Source organism: Homo sapiens, chromosome 22, assembly GCF_000001405.40.
Source record: "Homo sapiens chromosome 22, GRCh38.p14 Primary Assembly".
NCBI lineage: Eukaryota > Metazoa > Chordata > Mammalia > Primates > Hominidae > Homo > Homo sapiens.
Genome location: NC_000022.11, coordinates 42,578,157 through 42,598,857, shown reverse-complemented (window position 1 = coordinate 42,598,857; position 20,701 = coordinate 42,578,157). Strand labels below are relative to the sequence as shown.

General features: G+C 49.4%; 1 protein-coding gene and 1 pseudogene across 6 annotated transcripts in view, besides 1 other annotated feature; both read left to right on the top strand.

Moving 5' to 3' along the window:
* The window catches only part of POLDIP3 (DNA polymerase delta interacting protein 3), a 31,163-nt gene extending 16,026 nt beyond the window's left edge, over positions 1 to 15,137 (top strand). For 3 of the 5 annotated variants that reach the window (NM_178136.3, NM_032311.5, NM_001278657.2), the window contains 5 exons: positions 2,493 to 2,672; positions 3,244 to 3,321; positions 6,774 to 6,903; positions 11,286 to 11,352; positions 12,890 to 15,137. In NM_178136.3, coding sequence (NP_835237.1) covers positions 2,493 to 2,672; positions 3,244 to 3,321; positions 6,774 to 6,903; positions 11,286 to 11,352; positions 12,890 to 13,067 — 633 coding nt within the window. In that variant the 3' untranslated portion in view covers positions 13,068 to 15,137. The remainder of the gene's footprint in view (positions 1 to 2,492; positions 2,673 to 3,243; positions 3,322 to 6,773; positions 6,904 to 11,285; positions 11,353 to 12,889) is intronic. The other 2 variants (NR_103820.2, NM_001363052.2) reach the window with 2 other exon arrangements.
* The window catches only part of RRP7BP (ribosomal RNA processing 7 homolog B, pseudogene), an 8,768-nt pseudogene continuing 4,913 nt past the window's right edge, over positions 16,847 to 20,701 (top strand). The window contains 2 exon segments of the transcript NR_002184.2: positions 16,847 to 16,929; positions 18,499 to 18,641. The product of NR_002184.2 is annotated as a ribosomal RNA processing 7 homolog B, pseudogene (transcript).
* Positions 16,875 to 17,084: a silencer, noted in NCBI's record as "silent region_13831". NCBI's record gives its function as "represses an Ori minimal core promoter by ATAC-STARR-seq in GM12878 lymphoblastoid cells {active_cell/tissue: GM12878}" and the evidence as "EXISTENCE:reporter gene assay evidence [ECO:0000049][PMID:35858748]".

The following is a 20,701-nucleotide window of genomic DNA, read 5'->3' as shown; positions in this document are numbered from 1 at the left end:
CTGCTCAGCTCAGTGGTACAGCCAAGTGTCAGACAGGGAGGCCAGTGGGCTGCCTAGGTGGGTCCTTGTGGCAGCCACCTCTTTTGTTTTTCCTTCAGACGCTCAAAGACTCAGTTTTGGTTACTGTCCTGAGTATGTGGACCAGCCTCCTGGTTAGTAATTAAGAGAAATATGGGCCAGGTGCGGTGGCTCACGCCTGTAATCTCAACACTTTGGGAGGCAGAGGCGGGCAGATCACAAGGTCAGGAGATGGAAACCATCCTGGCTAGCACGGTGAAACCACGTCTCTACTAAAAAATACAAAAAAGTTCGGGCGTGGTGGCTCACGCCTGTAATCCCAGCACTTTCGGAGGCCGAGGTGGGTGGATCACGAAGTCAGGAGATCGAGACCATCCTGGCAAACATGGTGAAACCCCGTCTCTACTAAAAATACCAAAAAATTAGCCAGGCGTGGTGGTGTGCGCCTGTAGTCCCAGCTACTCTAGAGGCTGAGGCAGGAGAATGGCACGAACCCAGGAGGTGGAGCTTGCAGTGAGCCAAGAGGCGCCACTGCACTCCAGCCTGGGCGACAGAGCGAGACTCTGTCTCAAAAAAAAAAAAAAAAAAAATATCCGGGGTGTGGTGGCGGGCACCTGCAGTCCCAGCTACTCGGGAGGCTGAGGCAGGAGAATGGTGTGAACCTGGGAGGCAGAGCTTACAGTGAGCCGAGATTGTGCCACTGCACTCCAGCCTGGGCGACAGAGTGAGACTCTGTCTCAAAAAAAAAAGAAACATGAAGCTGGCTCGGCGTGGTGGCTCACGCCTGTAATCCCAGCACTTTGGGAGGCTGAGGTGGGCAGATTACCTGAGGTCAGGAGTTGGAGACCAGCTTGGCAACATGGTGAAATCCCGTCTCTACTAAAAATAAAAAATTAGCTGGGCATGATGGCGCGTGCCTGTAATCCCAGCTGCTCGGGAGGCTGAGGCAGGAGAATTGTTTGAACCCCGAGGTGGAGGTTGCAGTGAGCCAAGATTGCGCCACTGCACTCCAGCCTGGGTGACAGGGCGAGACTCCGTCTCAAAAAAAAAAAAAAAAAAGAGGTCGTGAAGCTGAATGATGCCAGTTTGTTTCTTTACAAAGGGACCAGGCCTTTCCAGTAATTAGACTGCTCAAGTCTGCTATCAAGGGAACTATCAGCTTGCTCAGTGAGTCTCTATCCCTATTTGATACCCTAATTGAATAAATGCCATATTTATACTCATGCGTCTTGTACCCTGTGAGATGGGTACTGTTGATTACCCTCGTTGATGGATGAGGGACAGGCATGGAGAGGTGAAATAAGCCTGTTCAACATCACCCAGCTGATGAGAAGCAGTGGATCTAGGAATGGAGCCCGAGCAGTCTCGCTCTCAGGGCCCTGTGTGGAGTCACTGTGCTGTCCCAGCTCTGGAGACGCAGAATTCCACATGAGGAATGTGGAATTCAGCATGGGGATGACGCTGCTTCACCCAGACTTGGAGGAGCGTGGTGAATTGCCCGTGCCCATGCTCTGATGTGCCTCTCTGGCCGCTGCGTTCCTCCTTTCTCCCTGCCCTGGGTCAGTGCCTGTAAACACTGCCCTAAATCAGCAGGGCCCCCGTCACTTCTGCTTTATGCACCTTTTTCCTCAGACACATTAATACAGGGGAGTTTTGTTTCCAAGGGACCACATCCAGATGGAGGGGCTGTTTTTGGTGATCTGCACTGCCAAATGCCCGAGTGTCCCTGACAGTCGGAGCTGATGAGGCCAAGGCTGTGTGTGGTTCCTCTGGATGGCCAGAAGAGGAACCAAAACACTGAATTCTGGGCCTTCTTAAGAGTGGTGATCAGCACATTGTGATAGAAGCATATCTGGGAATGAACTTGGCCTCAAGCTTTTGGCCTTTTAATTTTTTTTTTTGTAAGCAAAAGCAGCTTTATTAAGAAAACAAAGGAATAAAAGAATGGCTACTCCACAGGCAGAGCAGCTCTTTTACATTTTTTATAGAGATGAGGTCTCACTGTGTTGCCCAGGTTGGTCTTGAACTCCTGGCCTCAAGCAGTCCTCTCACCTCAGCCTCCCAAAGTGCTGGGATGGCAGATGTGATCCACTATGCCTGGCCAAGCTTTTGGCCTTCTGACCAGCCTCATATTGTAGAATTTTTAGAAAGTCTAAGTGGTGTGGGTGAGCCTGTGGCTCCTGGGTAATTTTCCAGGTCAGGGCTGTATGGAAGCTTCCTGCCAAGAGCTTCTAGCACTGTGGGGAGTGGCTTCTGTGAGTGCGCGTTCAGGCTGTGTGTTTTTCTCTCCCCCTGCCCCTTCCCTATGGGATGTCACTGGCAGCCGGCAGCCTTTTTGGCTCCAGACCTCTAATAGAATTAGAGAGCTGGGAGGCATCGAGGGTTCATGCTCTCAGCAAGTTGTCAACCTCTTGGGGCTTCTTCAGAACATTGCAGGTCTGGCTTCTCAGATTCTTTTCTGTCTCTTCGTTTAGGCTGGGCTAAGCAGTTCCAAGCTTTCCATGTCCAAGGCCCTCCCTCTCACCAAAGTGGTTCAGAATGATGCATACACAGCTCCTGCTCTCCCTTCCTCTATTCGAACAAAAGCCTTGACCAACATGTCCCGGACACTGGTGAACAAGGAAGAACCCCCCAAAGAGCTGCCAGCTGCTGAGGTGAGGTGATGGTGGTGACTGCAGCAGTTGGGGTCAGGAGGGCTGTATGCTTATATGTACCTCATTGTGTTCCCCACAACGCCTTTGTGAGGTGGGCATTGCCACCCCCATTCTACAGATGAGCAAACCAAGACCTAGGGACTCTTACCCTCAAAGACCTTGCAGGCTAGTGGGGACGGCAGACCTGCTGAGAGATTGCGGTATCTGGTGATATGTTAGACTCTCTCAGAAGAAAGCTATTAGGAGGGCTGAGGACAGATTATCTCATTCCAGTTGGGAAGTCTGGGAAAAAGGGCTCTTTTAGCTGAGTGGGTCTGGAAGCATGAGTAGCCTTCCAGGTAGAGGCTCAGGGCCTGAGAGGCTTGCGTATTTGGGAGATGGGAGAGGGTCCATGCTTTTAGCATAGAGTGATGGGGGGTGTAGTGGACACTGAAGTTCAGGGGGCCCATTTGTGGTAACTCTCCATGGAGCTTTCCTCTGGGCCTTCCTAGTCACGTGCCTGGAGGAATTTCTGTTGTGGGAATGCTTATCAGCCATCTGGCTTCTGGTAATGCTCTTGTCTGTGTGGCAGCCTGTTCTCAGCCCATTGGAAGGCACCAAGATGACTGTGAATAATCTGCACCCTCGAGTCACTGAGGAGGACATTGTTGTAAGTACTGTGACCTACCAAACATTTAAATCTCAAACTGCCTCTGTGGCAAAGGTCTCTTAAGACCCACCCTCAGGTTTGATGACTGCTAGGACTCACCAGACTCAGCATATAGTCACGCTCAGGGCTGAGACTAATGACAGCAAAAGGATGCAGAGCAAATGGCTCATGGGGTGAAGTCGGGGGGAAACGAGGCACAAGCCTCCAGAGGCCCCTCCCAGCAGAGTCGCACAGGATGCTGGGTGCAACTCGCAGCAAGTTGTGACAATACATGTGACACCAGGGAAGCTCATTAAAGACTCAGTACCCAAAGGTTTTACTGGGGGCTGGTCACTTCGGCATTCTCTGTGTAGCATGTACTAAAATTCCAGACTCCCAGAGGGAAAGCAGCTGTTGAGCAGAAACCATGTTGTTTGCACAGTCCAGGCACAGTGAACTGTGGGGTGGCAGGAGCCCTCCTGAGATCCGAGTTCTCAGATGCCAGCCAAGGGCCACCCCTGGAATCGGACCTTTCAAACAATAGCAGTCAGCCCAGCTGCTTCACTCTTCTGCACAGCTTCTAGCCAAGGCCAGGTGCCTGGCCTGAATCTCAGAGTCAGGGGATATCTATGCTATAATGGGTCCTAAATGGGATCCTTTAGTCCCACTGGGCAGTATCCAATAGTTGTGTTTTCCTGTGTCCTTTGGAGGTATTACAAGATGATTCCAAAGTGAAAGAAGTGAGATGGATTGGTGGTATCCACCTTCCTGGTCCATCCCGTCCCACCCATGGCAGTCATGGGCAAAACCTGTCAAATGTCTGTGAGCGGGGTTCTGGATGCAGCTAGGACTTCTTTTCAACATCATTTTCATTCAGGCACCCAAAAGAGCCATTAGTTTAGAAATCCAGGCATCCTTTGAACTGTCAGATCACAAAATGAATACGTTTGGAGAATCCAGCCTCTCCCTGCAGTTAAGTCCCAGACTAACAGACTGCACTGGTCACTACATTTGTTAAATCTTTTTGTTTTGTTTTGTTTTGTTTTTGAGATGGAGTCTCACTCTGTCACCCAAGCTAGAGTGTAATGGTGTGATCTCGGTTCACTGCAACCTCTGCCTCCCAGGCTCTAGCAATTCTCCTGCCTCAGCCTCCCGAGTAGCTGGGATTAGAGGCGCCTGCCACTACGCCTGGCTAATTTTTGTATTTTCAGTAGAGGCAGGGTTTCACCATGTTGGCCAGGCTGGTCTCGAACTCGTGACCTCAAATGATCCACCCACCTCGATTTGTTTTTTTTAAAGATGGAGTCTTGCTCTGTCGCCCAGGCTGGAGTGCCAGTAGTGCGATCTTGGCTCACTGCAACTTCCGCCTCCTGGGTTCAAGTGATTCTTATGCCTCAGCCTCCCTGGTAGCTGGGATTATAGGCGTGTGCCACCACACCCGGCTAATTTTTGTATTTTTCAGTAGAGACGAGGTTTCACCATGTTGGCCGTGTTGGTCTTGAACTCCTGACCTCATGATCTGCCTGTCTTGGCCTCCCAAAGTGCTGGTATTACAGGTGTGAGCCACTGTGCCCAGCTGAGGTTAAATCTTAATTGTGAAACACACGCATGCCGTGAGATGGGTCACTCGTATCTCCTTCTCCTTTAGCAGGGACAGTACTGTGAATGGTGCACGTGAGGATGGAAATTGTAGCCTATTTTGTGTAATACTTGACAAGTCATTAAGAATTAAAGCTGATTGCCGGGTGCAGTGGCTCACGCCTGTAATCCCAGCACTTTGGGAGGCCAAGGTTGGTGGATCACCTGAGGTCAGGAGTTCGAGACCAGCCTGGCCAACATGGCAAAACCCTGTCTCTACTAAAAACAGAAAAATTCGCCAGGCGTGGTGGCACGTGCCTGTAGTCCCAGCTACTCAGGAGGCTAAGGCAGGAGAATCACTTAGAACCTGGGAGGTGAAAGTTGCAGTGAGCCGAGGTCACGCCATTGCACTCCAGCCTGGGTGACAGAGTGAGACTCTCTCAAAAAAAGAAAAGAATTAAAGCTGTTAAGGAGCGTAATAACAACTGCCATTTACTGAGTACTTGCTATGTGCCAGTCACTTTAGGCAGACTCTTGGAAGATACATAATGGTGGAAAACTAAACACCAGTCATGATCAGTGCTCAGGGGAAATTGCTAGTAATAATCACCCTCGCTTCTCTTCTACCCAAATAGGCAATGTTAAAAGGACAATGGTAATAAAATTGGAATTACACCTACTATTTATAGTTGGCCCTCCATATCTGTCGGTTCTGCATCTGTGGATTTAGCCAACCACTGAATGAAAATACTCAAATTTTTAAAAATAACAGTATGATGAGAAATAATACAAATTTTAGAAATACAGTATAACTATTTATATAGCATTTACATTGTATTTGGTATTATAAGTAATCTAGAGATGATTTAAAGTATAGTGGATGATGTGCATAGGTTATGTGTAAATACTACAGCATTTTATAGCAGGGACTTGAGCATCTACAGATTTTAGTATCTGCGAGCGGTTCTGGAACCAGTCTCCTGCAGGTGCAGAGGGGCATCTTGTTTTGATATTTACCATTAAAAACAAACCATGTCAAGGACCTTTTCATAAACCTTCTTTTGGCCCTCACAGCAACCTTGTGAAGGCAGTTGCAGGTGAAGAAATGGCGTGAGTGCTAGTCAGCCTCTGTCCATCTTCACATTTTGCTCCCTCTCTGGCCTTAGTCGTCTTGTCTGTAAAATGAGGTGGAGATCGGACTCAATGATGTGTGCAAAGCACTGCCTTAAAAATTATCTCAGTTGAGCTTTCCAGTAAAGCTGGGAAGTAAGCTAGTCCTTTTTATTTTCAGAGGAGGAAACAGGCTCAGAGAAGTTAAGTAATTTGCTAGACGTCTCATAGCAGATAGAAAGCAGAGCCTGGGGGATCAAACTCAGGTCTGACTTAGAGTGACCAACTGTCCCTGTTTTGCTGGGGACTCTCCTGGTTTCATCACTCAAAGTCTCATGTCCAGGGAAACCCTTCAGTCCAGCCAAACCAGGACTCTGGGTAGAACTCCAGAATTTGTATTTGTAACAGATTCTCAGGTGACATATTAGCAGCTGTCTTTCTTTGTATACATGTATTCTAATGACAGGGCTCTTTGCGAAAATTTTCATAACTGTTTTATCCCTGTTGAGGTGGGCACTGAAGACTTTGGTGGTGGCTTGCTGGGAGATCCCAGGTGATCCAAGGCTTGTAAACCCAGCCCCTTTCCCACTGCTGACCTCATCTGGTGCTGTGTTGAAGCCTGTGGATGTCTCCAGAGCACCACCTCGCGTGGAGCCTCCCCGCAGTCTCAGGCGCAGGGCGCATTTAGCTGCAGCGGAACCACCACACCCCAGGGCCTTCAGAGTGTGTGAGCGGCAGGTGCTGAGAAATCCTTCCCCAATCCCAACCCCTCTTGTTGTGTGCAGGAGCTTTTCTGTGTGTGTGGGGCCCTCAAGCGAGCTCGACTGGTCCATCCTGGGGTAGCGGAGGTGGTGTTTGTGAAAAAGGACGATGCCATCACCGCATATAAGAAGTACAACAACCGGTGTCTGGACGGTAAGTTAGGGAGAAAGCAGTCCCCTGACCCTCCCACTCATCTCTACTTGCTGTCAGGTAGCAGGCCTTCCAGGGGAAGTCTCTGTGAGATGGGTGGAACCCATCTCTGGGGCCTCGTCTGCACCAGGAACTGCCGTGCAGTCTCTGAGTAGTCCTGAGCTGTGGGTTACACAGGGCCCTGGATTTTCACCCAGCCCTTAAGCTTTTGAGCCCAGCAAAAAGGAAAACAGCATTTCTCCATGGATGGTTCTCTTAAGGGGTCTTGCCAGGGGAGCCAAGAGGCACAGCTGTTGCCTCCCAGATGTTGATCTGTTTAGTGCTAGGGCAGAAGTTCCTCCCAGCCCTGGAGTTTTGTCTGAATGTTGACACCTGGGTGAGAGCTGCTCCTGGTGGGTAAACAACAGACTTTATTGACTTGAGGTTCATATTTTTCATCTCCAGACAGCCTGTAGAGAAGAATTCTGTCTGCCATGCTCCTTTTCCACTCATTTGTTCTTTCAGTATGTATTGAGTGCCTACTGTGGACCAAGGCCCTGTGCTAGAAGTGGAGAAGCAGAGACTAATAAAACAATACAACAATAAAAAAAATTACAAATAAAAGACCTGGAGCCTTGGCTAAATCTTGGCACCTGGGTGAACTCCCCTGGGTGAGTCAGTGGAGTTCTGATTTGCATTTCCCCATGGCTAATGATGTTGAGCACCTTTTCATGTGCTTATTGGCCATTTGTATGTCATTAAAGAAATTAATTTTGTTTTGAATTTCTGTTCTTTTTTTGTTTTTTCTTATTTTTTGTCATATGTTTGGATGTGGAAAGATACTTATTTTCCTTTTTCTTTCTTTTTTTTATTTTTATTTTTTATTATTTTTTTATTTTTTTATTTTTTTTGAGTTTCTCTCTGTTGCCCAGGCTGGGGTGCAGTGGCGTGATCTCAGCTCACTGCAACCTCCGCCTCCCCGGTTCAAGCGGCTTTCCTGCCTCAGCCTCCCAAGTAGCTGGGACTACAGGTGCACGCCACCAAGCCCAGCTAATTTTTTTGTATTTTTAGTAGAGATAGGGTTTCACCATGTTGGCCGGGCTGGTCTCAAACTCCTGACCTCAGGTGATCTGCCCACCTCGGCCTCTCAAAAGTGCTAGGATTATAGGCATGAGCCACTGTGCCCAGCTATCTTTGGAGAAATGCCTGTACAGAATCTTTGTCTGCTTTTTAAATACTGAGTTGTAGAAGTACTTTACATATTCTTAAGTCCCTTATCAGATAAGTGATTTACCAATATTTTCTCCCATTCTGTAGGTTTATTTCTGCTTTTTAATGTATTCATATGCAGTATAAGGACTTTTTGGTTAACAGCAGACCACATATATGACAGTGGGCCCATAACATTATAATACCATATTTTTACTGTATTTTTTCTACGTTTAGATGTACAAATACAGTTGCCTACTCTACTCAGTAGAGTAACATGCTGTACAGCCGGGTGTGGTGGCTGAAGCCTGTAATTCCAGCACTTTGGGAGGCTGAGGCAGGAGGATCGCTTGAGCCTAGAAACTTGAGACCAACCTGTGCAACGTGGCAAGACCCTGTCTCAAAAAATAAATTAGCTGGGCGCGTGGTGGCGTGTGCCTGTAGTCCCAGATGCTGGGGAGGCTGAGGTGGGAGGATCACTTGAGCCTGGGAAGTTGAGGCTGTAGTGAGCTGTGATCGTGCCACTGCACTCTGGAATGTATTCCCATGGTTAAATGATACATGACTGTATGTGCATTTACAGCTATATATTCTAAGCATGGCTGTAACTGCATTCCGTGTTTTGGTATATCATGCCTTCATTTTCATTCATCTTGAATTATTTTCTAATCTCCCTTGTGATTTCTCCTTTGACCCATTGGTTATTTAGGATTGTTTCAATTTCCATATATTCATGAATTTTCCAGATTTTCTTTTCTTCTATGAGTGTTTAAGGAAAATATGTATTTTCTTGTTGTTAGGTGGAATGTTCTGTACATGTCTATTATGTCTTGTTGCTTTGTAATGTTTAAGTGCGTTTCATTGTTGATCTGCTTGGTTCTATCTAGTATTGAAAGTGAAATACTGAGGTTCTGTTTTTTTTTTTTGATACGGAGTCTCCCTCTGTCACCCAGGCTGGAGTGCAGTGGCATGATCTCAGCTCACTGCAACCTCTGCCTCCCGGGTTCAAGCAATTCTCCTGCCTCAGCCTCCCAAGTAGCTGGGATTACAGGTGCCCACTGTCACGCCCAGCTAATATTTGTATTTTTCGTAGAGATGGGGTTTCACTGTGTCAGCCAGGATGGTCTTGATTTCCTGACCTCATGTTGGCCAGGCTGGTTTTGAAGTCCTGACCTCAAGTGATCCGTCCACCTGGGCTTCCCAAAGTGCTGGGATTAGAGGTGTGAGCCACTGCACCCGGCGAGATCTTTATTACTGTTGGTCTGTTCCTTTCACTTCTGTGTATTTTTATTTTATATATTTGAGGTTCTGTTGTTACTTGCATATATGTTTGATTGTTTTCTTCCTGATGAATTGACCCTTCAGTCAAATTTAAATCTCTCTTTACCTCTAGTCACTTTTTTTGTTGTTTTAAAGTATATTTCATTTTATATTACTAATAGCTAATAAGCTAATAAGTAAAAGACCAGCTTTCTTAGGGTTGCTATTTGAGTGATATATCTTTGTTCACTTTTTTTTTTTTTTTTTGAGACGGAGTCTCGCTCTGTCGCCCAGGCTGGAATGCAGTGGCATGATCTTGGCTCACTGCAACGTCTTCCTCCCAGGTTCAAGCGATTTTTGTGCCTCAGCCTCCTGAGTGGCTGAGACTACAGGTGTGCACCACCACACTCAGCTAATTTTTAGTATTTTTAGTAGAAATGGGGTTTCTGCCATGTTGGCCAGGCTGCTGTCAAACTCCTGGCTTCAAGTGATCTGCCCATCTCAGCCTTGCAAAGTGCTGGGATTACAGGCATGAGCCACCAAGCCTGGCCCACTCTTACTTTCAATCTTTTTCTCTCATCAACTGTAAAAATGTGTTTCCTAGGCTGGGCACAATGGCTCACTCCTGTAATCCGCCAGGCGGATCACCTGATTGGGAGTTCGAGACCAGCTTGACCAATATGAGGAAACCCCATCTCTACTAAAAATACAAAATTAGCCAGGTGTGGTGGTACATGCCTGTAATCCCAGTTACTCCGGAGGCTGAGGCAGGATAATCGCTTGAACCCAGGAGGCGGAGGTTGCCGTGAGCCGAGATCGCACCATTGCCCTCCAGCCTGGGCAATAAGAGCGAAACTCCATCTCAAAAAAAAAAAAAAAGAAAGAAAGAAAAATGTGTCACCTATAGAGAGTGTATAGTTAGATCTTACTGGTTTTTTTTTTATTTGAATTCAATCTGACAATCTGTCTTTGGATTGGATTATTTAATCCATTCATATTTAATATTGATAATTAGGTTTATTTCTTCCATTTTACTTTTTTTTTTTTTTTTTTGAGGTGGAGTCTCGCTCTGTTGCCCAGGCTGGAGTGCAGTGGCATGTGGTCTCTGCTCACTGCAAGCTCTACCTCCCAGGTTCACGCCATTCTCCTGCTTCAGCCTCCTGAGTAGCTGGGACTACAGGCGCCCGCCACCACACCCAGCTAATTTTTTGTATTTTTAGCAGGGACGGGGTTTCACCATGTTAGCCAGGATGGTCTCGATCTCCTGACTTCGTGATCCACCCGCCTCAGCCTCTCAAAGTGCTGGGATTACAGGCGTGAGCCACCGCGCCCGGCCCCATTTTACTTTTTTGTTCCTCTTCAGTGGCTTTTCTTTCACATTTTTTCCCCAATATTTTAATTCCTTTAATGATGTATTCACTAACTTAACTCGAGTAAGATATGGAAATGTTACTCCCACATGGCCCTGTTCCTTCTTCCTCTTTTTTGTGCTATTACCGTTACACATGTTATGCTTTGTATACAGTGGGAGTGTGGTCTTCCTAGTGCTTCATCCTTTGTAGACAGAGTAGAAGCCTGTACATAATGCTTTTGATCATCTTTTCACTGAATTTGATAGCATAAACCTTTTCCCTTACTACTTGGATGGCTTCACATTGAGTCTCGTTTCTCCCTCACTTCCCACTCATCTCTTCCTGTATGAAGCAAGGTTTGTGGCCACTTTGCCTCTTGGTGCTCCACTGCTGAGGTTTCCTCACGCCCTGGGATTTTCTTAGTGTCTGGCTTGACTGGAACCTAGCAGCCCCATCTCCATCTGTGGAGCCAGAACTGCCAGTGGTGGGTGCTTTGACCATTGATAATGGAGGTACAGCCCTTGTCCTCTTGTGTGAGGAGCCGAGGTCTCATAGCAGAGCCTTTTTCTTTCTTTGGTTTTTCAGGGCAGCCGATGAAGTGCAACCTTCACATGAATGGGAATGTTATCACCTCAGACCAGCCCATCCTGCTGTGAGTTCCAAAGGCGGGGTGCTGGGGAGAGGCAGCTCCGTCCATCTCTTTTTGTTCTAATGGGTAAACTGCCTGCATCACAGCTCCCCTTCATCCCCCCATTCCGTTTCCTCTGTTCTAATGGCAGCTGGCCGTTTCATATGCTTAAACTTGACCAAAATGGTTTGCTTTGTTATTTCCCCAGGGCTTGACCCTATAGGGACTAGCATTATGATCTCGTTCTCAGCTTTCTGATTTAGAAATATCTGAGTGGAAGTTGGAGGGGGAGGCTGCTTGGGTCTCCTAGCTGTGTGCATCATCCCGGGAACAGAGAACTCCACTGCATGATTGGCTCTGATGGAGACAGTGCCAGATGCTACCCCTTATTTTGTTCCCCAGTGAGGTTTTTTGTTTGTTTGTTTGTTTGTTTGTTTTTTGCTTTTTCAGTTATTTTGAGAGTCTCACTGTGTTGCCCAGGTTGGTTTCAAACTCCTGGGGTCAAGCAACCCTCTCCCCTCAGCCTCCTGAGGACCTGGGACTATAGGCGCACACCATCACGCCCAGCTGGATTTGGCTTTTAAGTACAGTGGGAAGCCATTGAAGGCTTTTGTTGCACACAGCTGAGTATACATGCCTGGCCCAGGACTGAGGGATGTTTTGAAGCCTGAGATGCATAAAATGTTGAGACTGTGAGGACTTCACCTTCTAGATAAGGAAGCAGATACCAGGGAGGAGGTTAGACTTGCCAGGGTGAGTGGGATAGTGTGGGGCAGGGCTGAAATAGACTTTGAGATTTAAAAAGACTAGGATTTGAACCCTGGGTAATGAATTATGTGATTTGGATAAGTTCTTAAACTGTGTTCAAGGAATAAGAAATATTTCTTAGGGTTTTGTAACCTAATAAGTTTGGGAACTACTGGGCTAAACAGAGTTACATCTGTTTCACTTTCGGGCTTCTCAGATTGTGTAATATGCTAATGGATGTTACCATCCAGAAGGAACATGCAGTGTTTCCTAAACTTAAAACCACAATTAGCCAGGTGTGGTGGCATGCACCTATAGTCCCAGTTACTTGGGGGGCCGAGGTGGGAGGATCGCTTGAGCCTGGAAGATCGAGACTAGTGAGCCATCATCATGCCACTGCACTTCAGCCTGGGTGACAGAGTGAGATTCTGTCTCAAAAAAACCCCACAAAACCCTAGAACATACAGCACTGCCTGCGTCTCCATTTTCTCATCAGTAAATAAGAAAAACACAGCCTGGGCCACATAGCAAGACCTGGTCTCTACAAAAAATTTTAAAAATGAGCCAGGCATGGTGGTACACGCCTGTAGTCCTAGCTCCTTAGGAGGCTGTGGCAGGAGAACTGCTTGAGCCTAGGAGATGGAGGCTGATGTGAGCTGTGATTGAGTTTGCTGCGAGGTGGAATGAGATGAAGGGGTATGGAAAGTGTTACACCCAGTGCCTAGCTCATGACAGATGCCCAGTAAATGGTGGGTCCCCTCCCCATCTAAGGAAAAACTGACAAGAATTTTTGACTCTTCTCTGCTCTCCACAGGCGGCTGAGTGACAGCCCATCAATGAAAAAGGAGAGCGAGCTGCCTCGCAGGGTGAACTCTGCCTCCTCCTCCAACCCCCCTGCCGAAGTGGACCCTGACACCATCCTGAAGGCACTCTTCAAGTCCTCAGGGGCCTCTGTGACCACGCAGCCCACAGAATTCAAAATCAAGCTTTGAGCAGGGGAGTGAGGCAGCCAGAAGTGGGGGCAGAGGAGGGTGGCTCTGTTTCCCCAAGGCAAAGCTTATGACCAATGGGCCATCGGACTGGAGACCCCTGATTGTGGGAAGGGTTGCCAGGGATAAAGAGCTTCCTCACTGGATGGGACCCGCCTTTCTGTGTTGTGTTCTGCCCTGTGCTCTTCTCTCTACGTTAACGTTTCCTGTAGTATGTTTCTTCATCTCATCGCCAAGGTAGGCTTGTGTTTTTCAGTGTGTGCCTCCCCGAGCCTCAGCCCCAAGCTGATTTCTTATCTGGAAATGGTACACTGAATTCTCTGGGTGGCTTTCTTGTGGCCCCATGGGATGCAGCGTGGGGGCTGTCTGAAGGACCCTGCTTTTTCCAGGGGCCGAGGGGCTGCCTTTCCTTTGTGTGTATTAAGCTTTTCAAACAATGGAGGGGATGGAGAGCCCTGGTGTCCTGACGGGAGCCAGGTCGGCCTGAGAGCTGTGCCGCTCCTCTGTCTTGTCAGTGGAGGTGCCTGGGTGGGGAGCAGGTCTCAGGCCTCTTGTCCTCTCCCCAGTGGCTCCAGGCCTCACTAGTGGCAAGGGCAGGATGAGGCTGCACCGCTGGGAAGAGTCTATCTAAGCTCTTGGCTTGGAGTCCCGTGTCGTCTCCACCCAGAGGAAGTTCTCCAGAGTTCACCTTTCCCTTTTCCTTGAGTTGTGCTGAATGCCCCACCCCAGCTCTCTTTCCCTTCTGGGTGTCTTTGCTGGGAGGGGGCTGTGTTGTGAGCCCTCCCGGTTCTCACCTCGCCTGGCACTTAACCACACCCTGGTTTTGTGTAGCCGCCAGCTCTCTTCTGGTTGGGCCTTTGAAAGGCTCAGCCTCCCATTGTGCAGTGCTTGGGTTTGGAGCTTATTTGAATGGAAGAGGTCAGTTTGTTCCTGGCTCTCCATTTCTGGCCTCAGTTGTCTACAGGACAGTGGTCAGGGATGCCTGGAGGCATATATCCAGCTGCCACCAAGGGGCACTGTTTGTTCCCACTTATGTGAGTGACCCCATCCATCCATGACCAGAGGATTATTTTCCTGCCTTGGCAGAGGAGGAGGAGTCAAGGGAGCAGGGCAGCTCTACCAGGCAAGGTGTTTCCCCAGCATAGGCGCAGACAGTTGGGACGAAACTTCAGAGCCCAGGCAGTCCCTGAATGACCAGGCCAGTGTTGTCACTGAGTGGTCCCCTGCTGGTTGGGAGTGAAGAGAATCCAGGCTGGCAGAGCTGGAGCCAGTTGGGGAGCACGGTTCTGGGAGCTCTGCAAAATCAGTAGCAAGTGCTGGAAAAGGCACATGCCGAAGATACTCAAGAGCTCCCAAGATTTGCTTGAGGCTAGCCCAGTGAAAAAAACCAGAGACTCATGTTTCCAGGGGTCAGTCTGTCAGGCAGGAAGGACCCAGGATTTGAACCCAGCTTCAGTGTGCAGGCTCTGAGGCTGCCCAGGACGGGAAAGTCCAAGGAAGGGGCCTGGTGGTGCTCCACTTGCAGTTCTTTAAAGAATGCTGCTTTTTATTCTCCTAACCCTTTCAAGTGGGTGCAGACTTCTCGTTAGCAGCTGGAAGACATTCCTCCCACACTTTTCCCTTCCTGGCCCAAGAGAGCATCCAGAAGGCAGTAGGACCTGGTTTTTCAGGTACTGGGAGCCGGGGGCTCACTGCTTGCACTGTGCTTAGGGTAGGGATGGTAAATATCCTCCCTGCATGGCTTTATCCTCCCTCTCATCCCAAAGCAGGTATCTTCTGGTTGTCACAGAGTTTCATTGAGTCCAGCTGCAGCCACGTGGCCATCTGGAGCTGGTGCTATAGGTGACCATCTGGTACATTGAGGGGACCTGTTTGCCTCCTCCACTCTATAAGCAGTCATCTTGGGAGACCGGGAGGAGAAGGTGGTGGGCTAGTCCTGTGTCCTCCTCCACTTCCCATGCCTCTATGTTACCCATCTGTGTCTCCTGTGCAGAAGGAGAGGAAGGGGCATTAAGAGATGAAGGGTGATTATGTATTACTTATCCATTTCTGAATAAACATTTGTTATTCCTACCTTTGAGTTATCTTTTTTTTTTTTTTTTTTTTTTTTTTGAGACAAAGTCTCACTCTGTTGCCAAGGCTGGAGTGCAGTGGCACTATCTCAGCTCACTGCAACCTCCGCAGCCAGACTCAAGTAATCCTCCCACCTCAGCCTCCCAATTAGCTGGGACTGCAGGCGTGCATCACCATGTCTGGCTAATTTTTGTAGAGATGAGGTTTCACCATGTTGCACAAGCTGGTCTTGAAATCCTGACCTCAGGTGGTCTGCCTGCCTCGGCCTCCCAAAGTTGGAATTAACAGGCGTGAGCCACCACGCCCAGCCAAGGGTTTTAATCTTGCAGGGATTTCAACATTTGGGGTGGAACTTAATTATTTAAAAAATAGAGACAGATTCTTGCTATGATACCCAGGATGGTCTTGAACTCCTGGGCACAAGTGATCCTCCTGCTTCAGCCTCTCAAAGTGTTGGAGTTACAGGCATGAGCCACTGCTCCCCACCAGGGATGCAAATTACTTGATACTCCTCTCCAGAAGGTGGGGTCCTGTGCCCCTCCTGAACCCAAGTGTGCTCTGTTACTACTTTGACCAGATGTGACTCTGCCATTTCTGTGCCTAGGCTTTTAAAGATGGTCACTTCTCCATTTCCTGTGCCTGGAACATTCTCTGGGAGCCTTGACACCACATTTGAAGTTGCCTATTGGGGCCAGCATGGTGGCTCACGCCTGTAATCCCAGCACTTCAGAAGGCCGAGGCAGGCAGATCGCATGAAATCAGGAGTTTGAGACCAGCCTAACCAACGTGGTAAAACCCTGTCTCTACTAAAAATTACAAAAATTAGAGGGGCGCGGTGGTGGGCGCTTGTAATCCCAGCTATTCAGGAGGCTGAGGCAGGAGAATCACTTGAACCCGGGAGGCGGAGTTTGCAGTGAGGTGAAATCACGCCACTGCACTCCAGCCTGTGCAACAGAGCGAGGCTCTGTCTCAAAAGAAAAAAAATAGTTGACTGTCGGTTTGGCATGGTGGCTCATGCCTCTTGTCCCAGCACTTTGGGATGCTGAGGCAGGAAGATTACTGGAGCTCAGGAGTTCGAGACCAGCTTGGGCAATATAGTGAAGCCCTATCTTTACAAAAAACGAAAAATTAGCTCAGCTACTCAGGAGCCTGAAATGGAGGATCATTTGTGCCCAGGAGGCAGAGGTCGCAGTGAGCTGTGATCATGCCACTATACTCCATCCTGGGCAACACAGTGAGACGGCAGAAAAAAAAAAATAGTTGACTATTGAGTCTCATATCTGATTGCCCACCTGACATCTCCCCTGAGTGGCCTAATGGGCATCTCACCACGGCCCACAGAGAACTGATCTACTCGATTTTCCCTAAGCTGGCCCCTCTCCTGCAGTCTACCCATGTCAGTCAATGGCAACACCATCCTCTTAGTTGCTCAGACTGAAAAGCTAGCAGCCATCCTGGATTTCTCTCACACTGCCTATTCAACGTGTGAATGCATGAGTGGAAAGCTGAGTTCGCACTCGTGACTGGCCGGGGTCGACTCTGACATTCACTCCCACTTTGGCGCGCTGATTTGCCTCTGAGCGGATGAAGGTTGAGCCATGGCGGGCGGGGCCGGGGAGGCGGGCTTGGAGCGAGGGGGCGGGGCAGGCGCCACAAAAACGCGCTCGCGCCGGCGCCGAACCGCAACTCCCGGCGACCCCCGCGCTCCCGGGTGGCAAGATGGTGGCGCGCAGGACGAAGCTCGCGGCGCGGGACCCGGAGGACGGTATCCCGAGCCCACCGTGCTACGCAGGTGAGGGGATCCGGAACGCGAGACCGGGGGCGGCCAGCATCGCCGGGAGGTGTTTGGGGGCTGGCGGCGGCCGGGGGTCCCCAGGAGCGGCCGCACGGTTGGGTGTGAGCCCCGGTGGCCCGTGGCCCCAGGCTCCGCAGGTCTTGAGGCTCCGGGGTCCCGAGGACCCACGCGGCGCCCTTCTGCCTGCTCACTCTCCCGGGGCGAGCCCAACTTGGTCCACGCTTCCCTTGGGTGAGCCCGCCTCTGTCCACACTCTCACCCAGGACAAACCCATTTCCGTCCACACCTGCTTGTCCAGGTGAGCTCATCCCCTTCTCATCGCCTCTGCTCCTAGTCCATCCCCCATCAGCTCTTACCTGGGCTGTTATAGGCCCTCCTACTCGGTTGCCCTCCTTCTCCTCTTGCCCCTGCTTCTGTTCTCCACCCACGTGCCAGAATGTTCTTTTAAGGACATTTAGATTCGATCATGTCTGCCGCGCCCACGATAGGCGCCACACCTACTGCATTCCCTCCAGTGGCTTTATCAGGTAGCTTCTAAAACAAAAACCAGACTTCTTAACCTGTGTGGGCCACGTGGTCTGGCTGGTGCCGACCTAAAGCTCTTTCTGTTCCTCTGAGGGAACATGCTTTTTCCCCCCTCTGGGTTTTTGCACGTGCTGTGCCGGTTTGTTGCACAGTGGCGTTCTGGCCTGAGCTTTAATGTTGCTTCCTCAAAGAGGCCATCCGTGATGGCCTATGGAAGGAAGACCTCTGCCACCCCATCACCCTGTAATGTTTCCTTCACGATTGATACAAGTTTGCTGTATGCTTACTTGTTAATTGTCTTCTCCGTTATTGCAACTGAGCTTCCTGAGTTCAGGGACCGCAGCTCTATGCCAACCGGTACTGTGACGGAGGTGTGAGAAAAATAGAAGCAGTTCCTAGCTTTATGAGGATTACAGTCATGGGTGTGCCAGCGATTAACCAAAGAATCTCATCAATATAGCCCCCAGACTGTTAAGAGAAGCTGTGAAGGCACAGGCAGTGGGATCTGAGCTGGCAGGAGGGGCGGAGGTGATGCTAAGGCTCTCCTGAGGAAGCGAGGTTTGAGCTAAACCTGAGGTGAGCGGGAGGGAAGAGGGTGACACGCCAGGTAGAGAGGCCAGCATGTGTGAGGCCCTGGTGTACCCGGGGGAACAGAGAATCCAAGGTGCTGGGGGAAGATGGTACAAGAAGAGGTCACAGTGACAGGCAGGGTCTCACGGGGCTTCCAGCCATGGTTAGGATTTTGGCGTTGACTCCAAGAGCCGCAGGGTTCGAGCTTCCCTCTCATTGCGCCCCCATCTGTAATCATTGCCCATTTATCTTCTCTCTCCCTGCACCGCCTTGGGAGGCCCTCCTGGGCAGACTCTTAGAGCCCGCACAGGCTTTGCCAAAGAGTAGGGTAAGGGGGGTTGGTGAAGGGATGGATGGATCGATGAACAGATAGGACTAGACAGGGATGTGGAGAAAGGAAGTTGTGTGAGTGTCTCGCTGGCCTCAGCTCAGGGTAGCCTGGCCATCCCTCCCCTCCCATTTCCTTTCCAGCTATTCCAATCAAGTTCTCTGAAAAGCAACAGGCTTCTCACTACCTCTATGTGAGAGCACACGGCATTCAACAAGGCACCAAGTCCACCTGGCCTCAGAAGAGGACTCTTTTTGTCTTCAATGTGCCCCCATACTGCACAGAGGTGAGCTGGTGTCTGGGAGGGGACCTGTTGGCTCAAGGTCCCATGGGACCTGGGGGCTCCCATGGCCTCCACCGAGTCCTTGGTGGTGAGATGGACATAGCTAATGGGAGCCCCAGAGGAGAGTGTCAGGAAGGCTACCGTGATCTCCAGTCAGGAAACTGGCTTTTTAAAGATGTCTTTAAAAGTATAATCCTGCCAGGCATGGTGGCTCATGCCTGTAATCCCAGCACTTTGGGAGGATGAGGCGGGCGGATCACCTGAAGGGAGGAGTTCCAGACCAGCCTGGCCAACATGGTGAAATCCCGTCTCTACTAAAAAATAAAAAATGAGCCAGGCATGATGGTGTGTGCAGGTAGTCCTGGCTACTCGGGAAGCTGAGGCATGAGAATCCCTTGAACCCGGAAGGCAGAGGTTGCAGTGAGCCGAGATTGCGACATTGCACTCCAGCCTGGGCAACAGAGTGAGACTCCATCTCAAAAGAACCCAAAAAACCCCAAAAATTAGCCGGACGTGGTGGCGCACGCCTGTAATCCCAACTAGTTGGGAGACTGAGGCACAAGAATTGCTTAAACCTGGTAGGCGGAAGTTGCAGTGAGCGAAGATCATGCCACTGCACTCCAGCCTGGGCAACAGAGTGAGACTCCATCTCAAAAGAACCCAAAAAACCCCAAAAATTAGCCGGACGTGGTGGCGCACGCCTGTAATCCCAACTAGTTGGGAGACTGAGGCACAAGAATTGCTTAAACCTGGTAGGCGGAAGTTGCAGTGAGCGAAGATCGTGCCACTGCACTCCAGCCTGGGCAACAGAGTGAGACTCTCAAAAGAAAAAAAAAAGTATAATCCTAAGTAGCCCAAGGCTTTTTTGCATATTACCCAAAGTTGTTTGAATTACATGTTTTCTTCCAGATTGTACATGTCCATAATTTAAAAGTAGGAAAGTATAAGAAAATAAAAGTGCCTCTAATTCTATCCAAACACAACTGTTAATTTTTCTTTTCTTTTTTTTTTTTTTTACAGAAACTAAAGGGAATTGCTGGATTTTCTTTTCTTTTTTCTTTGTTCTTTTTTTTTTTTTTTTTTTTTTTTTGAGACAGAGTCTCTCTCTTGCTCAGGCTGGAGCACAGCGATCACGACTCACTGCAACCTCCACTTCCTGGGTTCAAGCGATTCTCCTGCCACAGCATCCCGAGCAGCTGGAATTACAGGCGCCCACCACCATGCCCGGCTCGTTTTTGTATTGTTAGTATAGACAAGGTTTCACCATGTTGGCCAGGCTGGTCTCGAACTCCTGACCTGAAGTAATCCGCCCCCTTCAGCCTCCCAACGTGCTGGGATTACATGCGTGAGCCACCGCCCCTGGCCAAGGGAATTGCTGGATTTGTTTTCAAAAAAGAAACCCTAATTTGTAAAAGATTCCTCTAAACTTAGAGAAAAAAAGAAGCATATAGAAGAGGGGGTGTGAGTTCTGACCTTTTTTGAAGTGCAGCATGTGTGCCGGGAAGGGCCCCAGTCGCAAGTGTCCAGCTCGCTGCATCCCAGAGACAGAACATAGCTGTGTAGTCAGCACCCAGGTGGAGACACAGCAGCACATCCCAGAACCCCCGAACCCCCACTGCCTCCACCAGAGACAACCACCATCCCAACTGTCACAGCATAGGGTCGCTACTGCTGATTCAGGTAGTAAAACTTGTCATAGGAAATCAGAATAACAGCAAGAATGTCCCCACCTGTCTCCAATGAGAGAGAGCAGGAATGTGCCGGGCACAGTGGCTCACGCCTGTAATCCCAGCATTTTGGGAGGCCGAGGCGGGCAGATCACCTGAGGTCAGGAGTTCAAGACCAGCCTGGCCAACATGGCAGAACCCTGTCTCTACTCAAAATACAAAAATTAGCTGGGTATGGTGGTGGGTGCCTGTAATCCTGGCTGCTCGGGAGACTGAGGCACGAGAATCACTTGAAACCTGGAGATGGAGGTTGCAGTGAGCCGAGATCACTCTATAGCACTCTAGCCAGGGTTACAGAGCAATACTCCAACTCAAAAAAATTAAAAAAAAAGAGCA